The sequence below is a fragment of the Homo sapiens genome, chromosome 13 (assembly GCF_000001405.40).
Source record: "Homo sapiens chromosome 13, GRCh38.p14 Primary Assembly".
In the NCBI taxonomy this organism is placed as follows: Eukaryota; Metazoa; Chordata; class Mammalia; order Primates; family Hominidae; genus Homo; species Homo sapiens.
Genome location: NC_000013.11, coordinates 99,827,403 through 99,842,999, shown reverse-complemented (window position 1 = coordinate 99,842,999; position 15,597 = coordinate 99,827,403). Strand labels below are relative to the sequence as shown.

The 15,597-nt window shown below is 44.8% G+C and overlaps 1 protein-coding gene and 1 long non-coding RNA gene across 11 annotated transcripts in view, besides 1 other annotated feature; one reads left to right on the top strand and one right to left on the bottom strand.

Annotated features, from left to right (window-relative positions):
- Positions 1 to 15,597, bottom strand: part of CLYBL (citramalyl-CoA lyase) — a 302,755-nt gene that overhangs the window by 66,445 nt on the left and 220,713 nt on the right. The window lies entirely within an intron of this gene.
- Positions 1 to 15,597, top strand: part of CLYBL-AS3 (CLYBL antisense RNA 3) — a 216,296-nt gene that overhangs the window by 114,166 nt on the left and 86,533 nt on the right. The window lies entirely within an intron of this gene.
- Positions 8,672 to 9,424: an enhancer, noted in NCBI's record as "H3K4me1 hESC enhancer chr13:100485830-100486582 (GRCh37/hg19 assembly coordinates)". NCBI's record gives its function as "activates a minimal SCP1, AML or CMV promoter by ChIP-STARR-seq in primed H9 embryonic stem cells {active_cell/tissue: H9 hESC(primed)}" and the evidence as "EXISTENCE:reporter gene assay evidence [ECO:0000049][PMID:30033119]".

Sequence of the window (15,597 nt, the reverse complement as noted above, 5' to 3'; positions counted from 1 at the left end):
GTTGGTGAGTATTGAAATCATATAACGTAAGTGGTTAATAAATGTTAGGTTAAAAAAAAATGCCTTTTTTTCCCCCCGCAAAGGGATAGGGTTTTGCTATGTTGCCCAGACTGGAGGGTAGCGGCTATTTATAAGCACCATGACAGCTTGCTGCTGCCTCAAACTCCTGGGCTCGAGGGATCCTCCTGCTACAGCCTCCAGAGTAGCTGGGACCACAGGCTGACACCACATGGTCTGGCTAATATATCCCTATTTTAACATGTAAACTAAAATTGCTTTTTTTTTTAAAAAAAAGGGCTGTACAGATTTAAACTCCCATTTCCTGTGCACACCCACTTGGGGTTGGTTCTGAGTTCATATTAGGTTGGCCCTGTTTTCAGTAACCAGATGTCCTTACACCAGCACTCTGACCACATTGAGGACTGGGAAGGTAGCTTATTTATAGCTCTTGTGTCCCTAGTGCCTGACCAAAAGGAAAGAACAGGAAGCTAGTCTTTTGGCACCAGGAGAGAGTCCTAGAGGGGGCAAATCAACTCACAGACAACGAGAGGCAGCCTGTTCATTGATGGGGTTCAGGACACACTACCCAAAATGTACATTTGAGAAAACAGCAGAAGCAGGAAGGTCTTTCTCTCACCTTTCCCCCACCCTTCTCCCCAAAGCAGTCAAAAACTTTCATTCCAGAGGTGCCCTCTCTATCCCTAAAGGAAAGGAACATCCTTATCCTTGAAGACACAGAGATGCCAAGAAGAACCTGAACAAACAGGCCTTGCCAAATTCCCCTCGGTTTATTACTGCTAGATCATGCCCCCTCATCCAATCACACTTCTACACGACTGTCGACTTGCATCAAATCTAAGCATAAAAATACATAGGTGTTCCAGCTGGGCACGGTGGCTCACGCCTGTAATCCCAGCACTTAGGGAGGCCAAGGTGGGCAGATCACCTGAGGTCAGGAATTGGAGACCAGCCTGGTCAACATGGTGAAACCCTGTCTCTATTGAAAATATAAAAATTAGCCCTGGGTGTGGTGGTGTGCACCTGTAATCCCAGCTACTCAGGAGGCTGAGGCAGGAGAATCTCTTGAACCTGGGAGGTGGAGGTTGCAGTGAGCTGAGATCAAGCCAATGCACTCCACCCTCGGTGACAAAGTGAGACCCTGTCTCAGAAAAAAAAAAAAAAAAAAAGGAAAAGAAAAGAAAAGAAAAGAAAGAAAAAAAATACATAGGTGTTCCTGTTTCTTTGGGTCTTATTTAGGAAGGTTCCCACGTTGTCACGTAAAGCTTAAAGTAATGTGTGTGGCCGGGCGCAGTGGCTCACGCCTGTGATGCCGGCACTTTGGGAGCCTGAGGCAGGCAGATCACCTGAGGTCAGGAGTTCAAGACCAGCCTGGCCAACATGGCGAAACCCCATCTCTACTAAAAATATAAAAATTAGCCAGGCGTGGTGGCACGCGCCTGTAGTACCAGCTACTCGCGAGGCTGAGGCAGGAGAATTGCTTGAACCCGGGAGGCGGAGGTTGCAGTGAGCTGAGACTACACCACTGCACTTCAGCCTGGGTGACAGGCTGAGACTGTCTTAAAAATAAATAAATAAAAAAAAAAAGTATGTATGTGTTTTTCTCCTGTTAATCTGTCTTTCATTATAGGTACCTCAGTCACGAACCTTAAGATGTGTGAGGAAAACGTATTACTTTTTCTCTCCTATGGCATCTAGTTTTAGACCTCTCATTTTGTATGAAATCAGATCTTAAAGATCTAGAGTCTACTTTCCTCCGTGCGCCGTGCTCTTCAGGTTGCTGAATTCTTCAGGAATCCAGGTAGGCCTAGTATGCTCTCCACCTCTCGATAAAAAATTACAAAGAGCAACCTGCTCAGTGCTTTTGTTCCAAATTAGAAACCTTAAGTCCGGAATCAGTTTCTCAGCAGAAACACAGGCTATAGGTTGCAGATGGTCCTTTACTCATTGCAGTGTGAAAGTACTTCATAATATTAGTATGGAATGTGACCACATTCCATTTCTTCCTCTGTCCATCTGCTGCTGTTATGGTTTAGGTGAGAGAAATGATTTTAAAAGGATGTAAATCTGGACTGCGTGTAAGCTGACTTCATAAGCCATATTTAATATGTTTGGGCAACAAACACTACCTTGGTACTGTTTAACTAAGAAGGCAGTAGGGAATACGGTTTTCTGCCTTTTTTCATATGCATATGTAACCCTTTTTTTTTTTTTTTTTTTTTTTTTTTTTTGAGACAAGGGTCTCACTCTGTCACCCAGACTGGAGTGCAGTGGTACGATCACAGCTCACTGCAGCCTTGACCTCCTGGGCTCAAGTGATCCTTCCACTTCAGCCTTCCAGGTAGCTGGGACTACAGGCGCATGCCCCCACGCCTGGCTAATTTTTTGTAGAGACAGGTTTTCGCCATATTGCCTAGGCTGGTCTCTAACTCTTGTGCCCAAGCAATTCCCCTGCCTCAACCTCCCAAAGTGCTGGGATTACAGGTGTGAGCCACTGCATCTGGCCTTTTGGTTTTTGTTAAATTTATTTTTAATAGAGACAGGCTGTCGCTATGTTGCCCAGGCTGGTCTTGAACTCTTGGCCCCCAGTGATCCTCCCACCTCAGCCTCCCAAAGTATTGGGATTACACGCATGAGCCACCGTGCCTGGCCTGCATATGTAACCTTTTTGAATGGAGGTGGTTATGATTAAGATGGGTGAATTGTATATAGTGATTTTTTTTTTTTTTAAGGAAAGGAGAGTAAGGGCTCAGGAGGAGAATGAAGGGATGAGGACCACAAGGACAGAGTTCCCGAGGTCTCCTGGTGTCTCTGACCATCGCAGGGTTGTTAGTCTTGTCTCTATAACCAGATAGATGAGACAGACATTGAGGTTGGGACTGTGTTTGAAGCCCTCAGAGTTCCCAGCGTGGGGTGGGGCACAGAGTAGCTACCCTTCCTGGGAACTATATGCTTGTAAGATAGAGAATAGAAGGATGGTTACCAGAGGCTGGGAAGGGGTGTGGGGAGTGCGGGTGGGTGGGTGGGGAAGTGGGGTTGGTTAATGAGTACAAAAAAAAATATGAATGAATAAGACCAAGTATTTGATAGCACAGCAGGGTAACTATTTTTAATTGCACATTTAAAAATAACTAGAAGGGTATAACTGGATTGTTTGTAATACAAAGGATAAAGGCTTGAAGGAGATGGATACCCCATTTTCCGTGATGTGATTACTGCTTTTTGCATGCCTGAATCAAAGTATCTCATGTACCCCATAAATATATATATACCTACTATGTACCCACAAAAAATTTTTAAAAGATTAATCTTTTAAAATTCCATGCCCCTCCCCACCACTCTGTTCTGTCTCTCTGTCACCCATACACACACCCAATGGTGTGTCACACACACACACGAAGCATTATTTCCTCATGTCTGTCAGATTCGTATAGCTAGGATTCTTTCTTGTATTTTGTAAACATCATCAGCAGGTTAGGTCCTGGAGTGAGAATCACAGAATCAGAGTCTTGGAGTTGGGAAGAGTCTTCATAGTTACCTCAGGAGCTCTGGCCAAGGCAAGAGCCCTGCCATCCTCTTGGCAACTGATGATCTGTTTCTGTGTAAACACAGCCACTGGATGGACCTTCAGATATGTAAGTGTGGTCCGTATGTTTCCCTGGGTCTTCTGTCTTCGAACCCTCCTAGTTCTGATCATTGTCTCTCTGAAACCCTCTGATACACTTTCAACATCCTCTGCCCTCTTGAGTTGCCCTGCTCTGGACATACCCAGGTTTGGTGATGCCCCTTCTAAACTCTGAGCAGGCGCTCCCACTGCTCTTCCAGATGCTATGCCCCACCTGTAAGTGCATTAATTCCTGGCTGGCTGGCTACACTGTTGACTCACATGGAGATTGATAAAAAGGTTTAGTTGATTACAAATGTAACTCTTCATCTGCTCAATATGCTTAACAATATGGTCTTTAGGGTAGTCTTCTCAAATCTAACCATTCTTAATACCAGTTGCTCAGTTTTCCAAAAGGCTTTTAAGAATGTGAAATGTAGGCCAGGCGCCGTGGTTCACGCCTGTAATCCCAGCACTTTGGGAGGCCGAGGCGGGTGGATCACGAGGTCAGGAGATTGAGACCATACTGGCTAACACAGTGAAACCCTGTCTCTACTAAAAACACACACAAAAAATTAGCCAGGCGTGGTGGCGGACACCTGTAGTCCCAGCTACTCGGGAGGCTGAGGCAGGAGAATGGCGTGAACCTGGGAGGCGGAGCTTGCAGTGAGCCAAGATTGCGCCACTGCACTCCAGCCTGGGTGACAGCATGAGACTCCGTTTCAAAAAAAGAAAAAGAATGTGAAATGTTTGACAATTTATAGTAATATGGGAAGATTACAGCATTTAACAAAAGTCAGTGTTAGCATTCTTCTGAAGCTGAAAAACAATACATGGATTGAGAATTTTTCAGCAACCCATTTTTATGTGCCTTGAAAAATATGCCACACACGGTGGCATTTCTGAGATAAAAATTGTAGGCATCGGGGCCTCAGTTTCTACAAATGCAAGATAAACTCTAAGGTTCTTTCTGGCTTTAACATCCAACATTCTCTGTATAACCCTCCTCTGATCAGTTATCTCGAAAGAACCCCCCTCCTCCAAACAGTAGAGATACTCACTTTTGTTACTTCTTTTTGAATAAAAATAACATATTGCTGGCCTAATATGTCAACTTACTATGCATCTTATGGTAGGAAAATGCAAAATATCTAATGTTTTGAGTATCCCTTAGTTTTAAATATAAAAGCTTTCAATCTTTGTCATTTTTGATAAAAATTATGTTTTAAAAAGTTAGCTGAAACTTAATATTTACCTTTATAAATACATCTAATATATAATTACTTATGCATATTTGAAGAATAGATAAAAACTATCATTTTTAAACTGTATTCAAGAAGCATTCACAGATATAAAAGCATTGGGATTTTGAGAACTTAAAACCACTTGACAGAGAGGAGGGAAAACCAGAGATATCATGTAAAAAATAATATTTGTAATTTACAAAAATGTTTCTCATTTATGGTTAAGAAGCTTAGTACACGTTTTGGTATGTAGAGATTTCTGTCTCCACTCTTCTTGGGGATATCCACTTTATTTGGTTTGATGGGTGTGTGGTGGGGCTCGGACACGTGCTTCTAAAGGCTCCCCTTGTGACCCTGCTGGACGGCCAGGGTTGAAAAGCTGCTGCGCTGGTGCACACATAAATGCCTCGCCTATTGGGCAAACAGTGCCCAAAGCACAGAGAAGAAAGACCTGCCTGAGAAGAGGAACTCAGCAGCCCCTTGAGCACGTGCCATGAATCCTCACAGAGCATTTTCCCATCACACAGATCTCCACGAGGTAGCTCCATTTTACTAGGTGACATTTCTACTTGCAACACTACTGGCAAATATTGTGGCTAAAGCAACTTGAAATCATGATAATTTCTGCTCTTGGTTGGTGACCTATATCATGACTGTTTTTTAAACATTTTATTTTATTTTCGAGACAGGGTCTCGCTCTGTCACCCAGGCTGGAGTGCAGTGATGCAATTACGGTGCTCACTGCAGCTTCAACTTTCCAGGCCCAAACGATCCACCCACCTCACCCCCACAATTAGTTGAGGGTACAGGTGTGTGCCACCATACCTGGTTAATTTTTCTTTACTTTTTGTATAGACAGGATCTCACTGTGTTGCCCAGGCTGGTCGCAAACTCCTGGGCTCAAGCGATCCTCCTGTCTTGGCCTCCCAGAGTGCTGGGATTACAGATGTGAGCCACCACACCTGGCCCTGACCCTTATTTTTCCAGTTCCCACCTGTGCACTGAAGGCAAGAATCCTATGAGAGCTGAGCAGGAAGACAATGATATGCATTAAGTGGGGACCTCTGAGGCCAACTCTCCTTTTTTTTTTAATTATTATACTTTAAGTTTTAGGGTACATGTGCACAACGTGCAGGTTTGTTACATATGTATACATGTGCCATGTTGGTGTGCTGCACCCATTAACTTGTCATTTAGCATTAGGTGTATCTCCTAATGCTATCCCTCCCCCTTCCCCCACCCCACAACAGTCCCCGGTGTGTGATGTTCCCCTTCCTGTGTTCATGTGTTCTCATTGTTCAATTCCCACCTATGAGTGAGAACATGCGGTGTTTGGTTCCAACTCTCCTTTTACAGCTAAGCAAGGACCACAGAAATGAAATAATCTCTCTAGCACCACCATCTTGGAAGAATTTAATGATTTAAGTGGCATTGTTTTCTGACTATAAAAGCAATATATACTTTTTATAGAAAAAGCTTAAACATAGGAAAGTGCATATAAGTATTTTAACAGATCCCTGTAATCCATCACACTGTGGCACCGTGGCATCACCATGCAGAGCCCTGAAACTGGGACTTTGTCCTCTGAATCGGTAGTTACTAGACACTGTGACAATGGTTAAGTCCATTCTTCATACACCTGCATTTGGTGCGGGCCTATTTCCTCCTGGCCCTACCTCCTACCTTACTGCACTGTAGCTTCTGGAAGGTTACAAATTCCCTCACATAAGCAGCCACTCCCTGGAACACTGTCCACTCTGTGTGCTGGAACTGAGGCTTGGCTTTGTCCTGCTTTGTGTCACCACCCTCTCCAGGGGAAGAAACGCCTCACTCCCCTGTATGCAGGGCCAGGGGTAGAGGGAGACATCTTCTAGATCTGCGTCTCTGTCCTCCTTCGCCTCACCAACCAACGCTCCCCCTGGCAGAGTCCACACTGTCTGACTGTGTCACCCTTTCAAGTCCCCCTCATACTCACGGCTGGAAGCTTCTCCAAGCAGCGCCAGGAGAAATCCCATCTCATGACTGCATGTTCCCCAACACCCACCCTGAGGACTTGGTCATACTTTGGCCTCACTTTTCTCAAAATTGCCTCATCCCGAACTCTCAAGCCCTGAAATCCACCTCTCTAATGACAGCTCCTCCCTGAGCTGCCCCTTGTCGTTGTCATCTGGTTTACCTTCCCCTGTCTTCCAAGTCCTGGCCCCTGGGCGGTCAGCTCACTGTCAGATTTTCTTGCCAATCTACCACCTACCCTGGACTTCCTGGTTAACTGTGCACAGTGATACCTTCACAGCATCCTCAAGTCTTGTCTCTGTTAGTTCTGTTTTACTCTTACCTGGGTCTGGGATTTGGCTTGCTGGGGGAAAAAGGCCTTCATCATTCACTCAGCTGTTCAACTACTCAGCTGTGTTAGGCACTGTTCTAGGTCCTGGGGATGCAAAAATGCAATAAAGAGCAATGCAAAAATGCAGTGCAGGGTGATGTGCAGATATCACATGTGGTTGCACAGGGGTGTGGCAGAGACAGCTGATGGCTCACAGCAACCATTCTTCCTTTTCCTTTGAGTTTTGGCACTTCTTAAAGCCTGCATATCCCAGACCCACTTGCAGCTAGCATGCGAATGGAACAGAAGTGGTGTAGGCAACATTTAACCCTTAAAAGGAAGCCACCTGCCCTCCACTCTCTCTTCCTCCATCTCCGATGCTGGAACTCAAACATGGTAGGGTGAGCCGGCATCAGCCATGCAGATGAGGATGTCAGAGCAACAGGGCAGACGCAACGTGGGTCTCTGAATGAACATGGAGGAGGAGCACTTCCCACCTGCCTTGGACCACCCGGCTACCTCTTTCTGTGCTGTTGGGTGAGAGAGAAATAAACTTCATTTGGTTTGAGCTGCTGTTGCTTTGTGTCTTTTCTGTTGTAGCAGCTTAGCCTGCACGCTGACACAAAAGCAGAGATGAATCAGCCGCTCATAGAGGGTAGAGGCGACGGTGAGAACAGAGTAGTGGCAGGAGCAAGAAAAGCATCTGGAAAGAGGTAACCACAGAGAGACAGGCTCTGGGCTTTGGCACTACTTGGCAATCTTTTTACTGATCTTGGAGAATTCCCTTTCTCACTGTGTGTGTTAGGAAGAGGGAGGTGTGTTCCAACAATAGAGGGAAGAACAATAGGTAGAATTTGGGGGTAAGTGTACATGATTGTTTTAGTTTAGAGGTGTTTGCTTAGGATCTCGATCACATCACCTCTTGACCGTCAAAATTCTGAACCAATTGAACAATAAGACAAAAGTGTCAGCAGGAGGAGAATTAGAACATTTCCTTCATTTCTGATAAAGGCTGGGTTGAGGACAGAAGTGAGTGAAAGAGCCACATGGTCTTTTAATACTGGGCCATAGAGTTAGACTGACTTATCATCAGGCTGCAGAGGACCGAGAACATCCTGTGTGGCAGAGAGTGGGCCCCGGGGAGCAGGGAATCAGTCACACTGCCTGTGGGCAGCCCACACCCTCGAGGAAGGAAAAAGGAGGAGGCAGAGCTACATATGCCAGGATAGCCACTGGGTGCATCACCCTGGCTCTGCGGAGATGTGGGCTGGGGTGGGAGAACCACAGCACTGCACCAGTGGAGCTCCCTCCTGAAGGAAAGAAACTTCAGGAAGGGGGAATGAGTGTTCCCTGCAATGCTGACTTTGAGGCTCCTGCAGGCCACCTGGGAAGGCCTTAGGATTCCTTCTCTCATAAGCCCCCTATATGAGTCAGGACTGAGTAATCTATTATGGGACAGGACCTACTCGTATGCCCTCCCAGGCTGTGGGCTCACCAGGAGTCCTGGCATAAGCAGGTTGAGACTGAGTTACTTCCTGGGCCCACCTGCTTGACACTGGCTTGGCACCTTGGCAGGCATTACTTTATTTTCTCCCAAGGCTCCCGTGGTCCTGAGGGGTCTCCCAGTCCTCTTGGAGCACCTTAAAGCTGCGTGAACCAGGCACTGGCCAGAAGGTTACCTGTGGGACTCTGGCTTTGTTCTGCCTCCCACTGCATGCTCAGCCATGCCCACCTCTCTCGCCAGTTATCCCTCCCACTTCCAAGGAGGCAGGGCTGGAAGTGCCCAGGTGTCCTCAAAATAAGCAACACAGGGCTGCGCATGGTGACTCACACCTGTAATCCCAGCACTTTGGCAGGCTGAGGTGGGCAGATCACGATATCAGGAGACCGAGACCATCCTGGCCAACACAGTGAAACCCCATCTCTACTAAAAATTCAAAAATTAGCTGGGTGTGGTGGTGTGTGCCTGAATCCCAGCTATTCGGGAGGCTGAGGAAGGAGACTCACTTGAACCAGGCACTTGAACCAGGGAGTTGGAGGTTGCAGTGAGCCGAGATTGCGCCACTGCACTCTAGCCTGGCGACAGAGTGAGACTCCATCTAAAAAAAAAAAAAAAAAAAAAAAAAAGCAACACGGTAACCCCGCTTCCTGTCACATTTGGTGCTCAGGGGCTCTGGCAGTGCCAAATACCTAGGCACTCAGGGATGGTTCTGTCTTTGAGTATGTGTTGGGGGAGGTGACTGGAGGACTCTGATGGCAGAGTTCTAATGACTTATTTATGCATTAATTCATTCACTCATTTTTAGTTTGTACTTTCCCATAAGTTGGGAAAAATGGGTTTACTACTTTCCACACCATTATGTAGCTATGGCAGCAATTCAAAGATTCTAATGTAATATAACATTTAGGGCTTATTTAATCCTTCTTTCCTTTAAGAATAAGAATTGGTGGAATAAAAATATAAACTACTGGCCGGGCACAGTGGCTCATGCCTGTAATCCCAGCACTTTGGAAGGCTGAGGTAGCTGGATCATGAAGTCAAGAGATCGAGACCATCCTGGCCAACATGGTGAAACCCCGTCTCTACTAAAAATACAAAAAATTAGCCAGGTGTGGTGGCAGGTGCCTGTAATCCCAGCTACTTGGGAGGCTGAGGCAGGAGAATCGCTTGAACCTGGGAGGTGGAGGTTGCAGTGAGCTAAGATCGTGCCATTGTACTCCAGCCTGGGCAAAAAGAGCGAAACTCCATCTCAAAAAAAAAAAAAAAAAAAAAAAAAAAATATATATATATATATATATATATGTATGTATGTATGTATATACTACTTAATGAAATGATATATGACAATACTTCAAAATCTCTTAAACTGTACCATTAACATATAATGGTTATATAATGAATTCTTTTGGGTTTTTTTCTTTTATTTTTTCTTTTCTTCCTTCTCTCCCCTCCTTTTCTTTCTTTTTTTTCCCTTTAACAGATTTGATATAACATATCCCAAATTCAATTTGCCTCCACTGGTGGTCCTATGGATCCATTACTGATGTTTTCCTCCCACTCTGTGACACCAATGGATAATATGAAAGCCAAGTTCCTAATTCTAACTGTGACAAGTGGTAAATGGCCAGCTTGCCCAGTCCACTTAAGGGATGAGTTCTTGAACTCCCTTGAATGATAACTTCAGGACTAGAGAATTATGTCCAACAATAAAAGTCCTTTTCAGGGTGTTTCTCAGTTTTTACATAAATTTAAATATGCTGGTTCAACCCCACACCCAGTCTAAGTTGCCTAGATACTCACCCCATCAGATCTTATCACTATCCAATGACATGCCCTGTCTATACGTTGGCTTCTTCTACCTGGGTACCAGGTTGTAAGTATTTAATACATGTTGTTGAATTGAATTCAATAAGAAGAAAAAGAAGTAGAGGGAAGGTAACAATGAGGTCTAAAGTGGGTTCTTTTAAGAGATCATTTGAGGACGTGGAGGGAGAAACAAGTGGTACGACCCAGTGGTCTCGCACCATGGAAATGCAAAGCTGCCAGGAAGAACCGAGACCACTACAGGATAATTGTTTTCAGTGTTTCCCTAATGGGAGTCAACCATCAAAGCAAAGTTTCTCAGATGCTGGAACTGGATTGTGAAAAGCAAATAAGAACACAATGTGCTGTTAAAAATCATTCCCTTGGAAATAAATACATCCAATATTGCCGCAAACACTGTAAGCTATTCATCCTCGACTGGAAGCTAGTAAATTCATTAACATCATATTCTAACATTGAAATGAAGACTGTGTTGGAAAACAGTTATCAAAAGATCTATTGAGACAGAGCTCTGAGAAGAGGCCAAGAAATTCTGGCCAAAAGACCAGATAGTGAACTGTTTGATAAATGTATAATAAAACAGCAGAATTGTATTGATACTATTGCTCTATGAAGCTAAAAATACCCTAAACCAGACAGGTTGATTGAGTGTGGATCTGGTACAGAAACAAAGTTACCAAAACAAGGCCAGGGATGGAGGGATATCAAAATGGGGCCCCTTTTTTTCTGGTAGCGTGTGTTTCCTTCTACAAAAAAAAAAAAAAGAAAGAAAATGGTGGTTCACTCAAGAAGCGGGTATTTACAGACAGCTATTACACGGGCAAAAAAAAATGCTTACTTCAAAAGATCTAATATTATTCTTCAATAATATTGTTAATGTGTTTTAAGATAGAGTTATTTTATTTATTTATTTATTTGTTCATTTTTTAAATTTTATTTTAAGTTCCGGGATATATGTGCAGGTTTGTTGCATAGGTAAACATGTGCCAAGGTGGTTTGCCGCACCTATCAACCCATCACCTAGGTATTAGGCCCAGCATGCATTAGCTATTTATCCTGATGCTCTCCCTCCACCTGCCTCCCTGAGAGTTCTTTTATTCTTATTATTAGTAAGAACAACCATGATGTTAATTAGGAAAAGAGACCTTGCAGCTCCTGATTAATGGTATCAATGATAATATATCTGAGGTGTATTAGTTTCTTAGGGCCACCATAACAAATGACCATAAAATTGGCAGCTTAAAACAACAAAAATGTATTCTTTCATAGTTCTGGAGCCCAGAAATGTGGACTTGAGGTGTGTGCAGGGCGCAGTCCCTCTCTAGCGGATCCTCCTTGCCTCCTGCAGCTCCTGCTGGCTGCTGGCAGTCCCTGCAGCTGCCGCCACCCAACCCCTGCCTCTTCCTTCATGTGCCCTTCTCCTCTGTGTCTGTCTTCTCCTCTGTGTCTGACTTCTCTTCTGTGTCTGACTTCTCTTCTGTGTCTGTCTTCTCCTCTGTGTGTCTCTGATTTCTCTTAAAAAGACACTTGTCATTGGATTTTGGGCCCACCCAGATAATCCATGATGGTCTTTTCTCGAGATCCTTAACTTCATCGGCAAAGACCATTTTTCCAAATAAGGTCACATTCACAGGTCCCAGGGATTAGGACATGGACTTATCTTTTCAATGCAATCCACGACTGGAAGCATATTCCATGAACAATGGAATGAACACTTCTTTAAAAGAGTTATTAGAAAGCAGTATGTTAACAAAGGTGAGTTCTCCCTTTTCCATCTCTCCCTCTCCTCTCTACATCCCTTAAGAGGAACAGTGCCTGGACTATTTGAGGTCTTTGGTAAGATCTCTAGGGGTGTCACTGTGTCCTAGGACACAGAGCTAGGGACTGTCACAGACTCACAGAGTAGTTGAGTTGGACAGAACTTAGAGGTAACTTGGGGCAACCCTAATCTCACATATGACTCCTCTCTGCAACATTCCTGGGCTGAGGGGCACCCACACTGCTCCAGTGTCTCCAAGTCCATCTTTATGTCCTTGGCTGGCTCTAGGTGCCACTTTCTATACCGCAGTGGTGCCTGGAACCACGCTCAGCCTCCTCATCTTTATGTGCGTCAGTGCCTGTCCTTCCCGTTGTGTTGTTCATCTCTACCAGGAGGGCACTGATCTAAACCACTGTCCTTAGGATGTGTGCATAGAGTAATTCTTTTCATCAAGAATGCTGGCTCTTCCACTTAGGCCTAATAAATATCTTTCATCATGCAGAAAATGCATTTTTAGATGACTGGCTGAGTTTCAGAATCACAGAATTTTAGGGCTGAAGAAAGCTCTACAATTATCTAGTCATTTTAGAAACAAGGAGACAAAAGTCCGAGAGAGAGATCAACAAATGACTGAAGGTCACTCTGATGCCGGGGGGAGAGCCAGGACTTGAACGCACATCCCCTGAAGCCCATCCGAGAGCTTGTTCACTACATCACATATGATTCAGAATGTGACCCAAAGCTTGCTCCGGTGTGAATTACGCTTGACATGCTGGCCCCCTTGGTGCCACCCCGTGAGACCATCAACCCAATGATCATATTCAACAATATTTCCTGAGTGTGTGCTATGGGCAGACAGGCTCTCCGCTCTCACGGAGCTTATACACTCAAGCGAGTAAATGATTAAACAGTACCTGAAAGGCTGCAAGGCTCTAATCAGCTGTCACATTTCGGAGTTGATTGGGACTGAGGTCAGCTTGTTCAGCTCCTGATCCTTCACTGTACCCTTAGAGGAAAGGTGACGTAACTGGAGCTAATGTCCCTACTTTAAAGGTTCCTAGAAGTGTCCAATGTCATCATTTGAGTCAAAAGCACCTATTGGTCTAGAAAATAATTCTCCTCACTTCCTTTCTAGTGCTCAATTCTAAGATAAACCAGAAACCCAAGATCAGTAATGACAACAACAACAACAACCCTGCTTTTATTAAAACTCATCATTGCCCATAAAATAAAGTAGATCTCTTGGGAAGAGTAAAGCCACCAACTAGCTACTTGTACATGAGAGAGGCATTTTCTGGTTGACACAGTGAGAAAAAAGCCCCAGATGGCGGATCTTTTTGGCATGGACTTCCCTGCTCCGGCTGTCTTAACGTGTTCCTTCACTGCATTCATTCTTCCTGCATCAGAACCGCCTTGGCAGTTTGCTTATTTCCAAGGAAGAAAAAAAACAGGAAGGTTTGCATCTGCAAGATTCCTACCTTCCTCCTTGGATGCTACGGTGCCTATTCACAAGAGGTGGTGACTAAAATGACCTGGAGCCTTGGGTGAAAAATTTCAAATCTCTGTCCTGTGACAGGTTCAACACATTCCCTTCCTCATGAGAAAGGAAAGGGGATTCGAGTTTTGGAGGGCGTTACCTGGGTGGGATCTGATGCCTGATGCAGATTCTGAATGTATTTGAAAACAGGTTTTGGCATGTGGGGATGCAGCACGTTGCATGGCTGCTGGCTTCAGAGTACATCCCGTGGGTTCATAGCCCTGTCTTCCGTCACGAGGAATCCCTGCCAATCTAGGGTCTGCACACTGCTTCTGCCAGCCAATCTCTAATTCAGCATATGTACAAAGCCAATTTTTGGACACCGTGATGGAGCCTGGCACCTCTGCCGCCCTCCATATTTGCAAGGCTCACAGTGAAATAACAAGCAATGAGCAAGAAAGAAAAAAAGATGACATGAAAAGGCTTTCTAAATTCCCAGATAAATGGTGTATGTATTATATATGTGTGTCTCCCTCCACCTTTTCCAACATAAGCTTACCCCATGCCTTTCCTTGTAGTTATTTCATTTAGGTTTTCAATCTGGGACGCACTTAGCAATAGCCAACACTGACGAAGAGAAAACCCTGCTCCCCACTGAGAACATCTGATTTTTAAAATGTAGAAATGCTGCTCTTTACAAAATAGGACATTTCCCTTTTAATTAGTTTCAAAATACACCCAAATAATTTGCCACTAGGAAATGATACCATTTTAGAGTGCTTAAAAATAATTCCCATGCATGCAATTTGATGAGAGGCCCAAGCTAGTGAAACCTTCATCTCTGAGATAAATTGAGCTGTTTCTGTGGGAACAGCTGTCGCTACCATGGGAAAATTCCCCTAACCCACAGGCTTTCATCACTGACTTCACTCAGAAAACCTGTGTTTAAGGTGTGTGTGTTGAAATATATGGGAACAATTGCTAATTGAGTCTCGAGTGCACCCGTCTGACTTAGCTGAAACTGTGGCTCTTCCTGCCTCCTTTCCCCTCTATAGAGTTTTTGCCCATCATCTAGTTTTTGAACAGTTCTTCAAAAGAGAACAGGTAGCCACAAAAACTCTATGGTGTTATTTCATGTTGTCTTTGAAAATAAATACATATATTGTGTTTGTACACCCTGCAATCCGTGGGTCCTGCATCCCCAGAAGGGCACCCCTCAGGAGGGGCATTTCAACTCTTCCCTGTGCACAAATGAAACGAAAATCTCTGAATCAAAGGGAAGGGGAGACTATGCAATTTTCTAATGTATATTTCTTCCAACACATGGATTTGATTCATGACAATGGCCAACTTTTTGACTATTCTGGTGAGATCCCTCCTCCTCTGCGCAAGTGAGCCTTGGCGGGTAGGCACGCTAGCATGGGATGAATGAACCCTCCCGAACCATACCCCATCCCCACATACGATGGCGCCTGTCGGGACAAAGCGAGAGTCTGAGCCTTGCATGTATAAATATAAATATTTCAAGAGCTTGGCTGCTGGCAAGCTTTGCACGGCATGCAGAAGCCAAGCTTGATTGCCCTGCCCTGGTGTGGGGCTCCCCAGGTGGCAGGGGCTGAGAGCGGGCAGTGTGGTTGGTAGGGGGTGGATGTGAGTGCCTCCAGTCATTCTGAGTAGCCCCTGGGCTGATTACTGACAAGGGCTGACAGGCTCCTAAGGGGAGGTCCTGTCCAGTTTCTTTCTGCAGCGGGGATGATGGGCCATGCATGGGGTCCTGAGGCAGAGACTGGGGACTTTTTTGTGTGACTGTGACTACATTCCTCATCAACAAGACCACGCTCATGGTC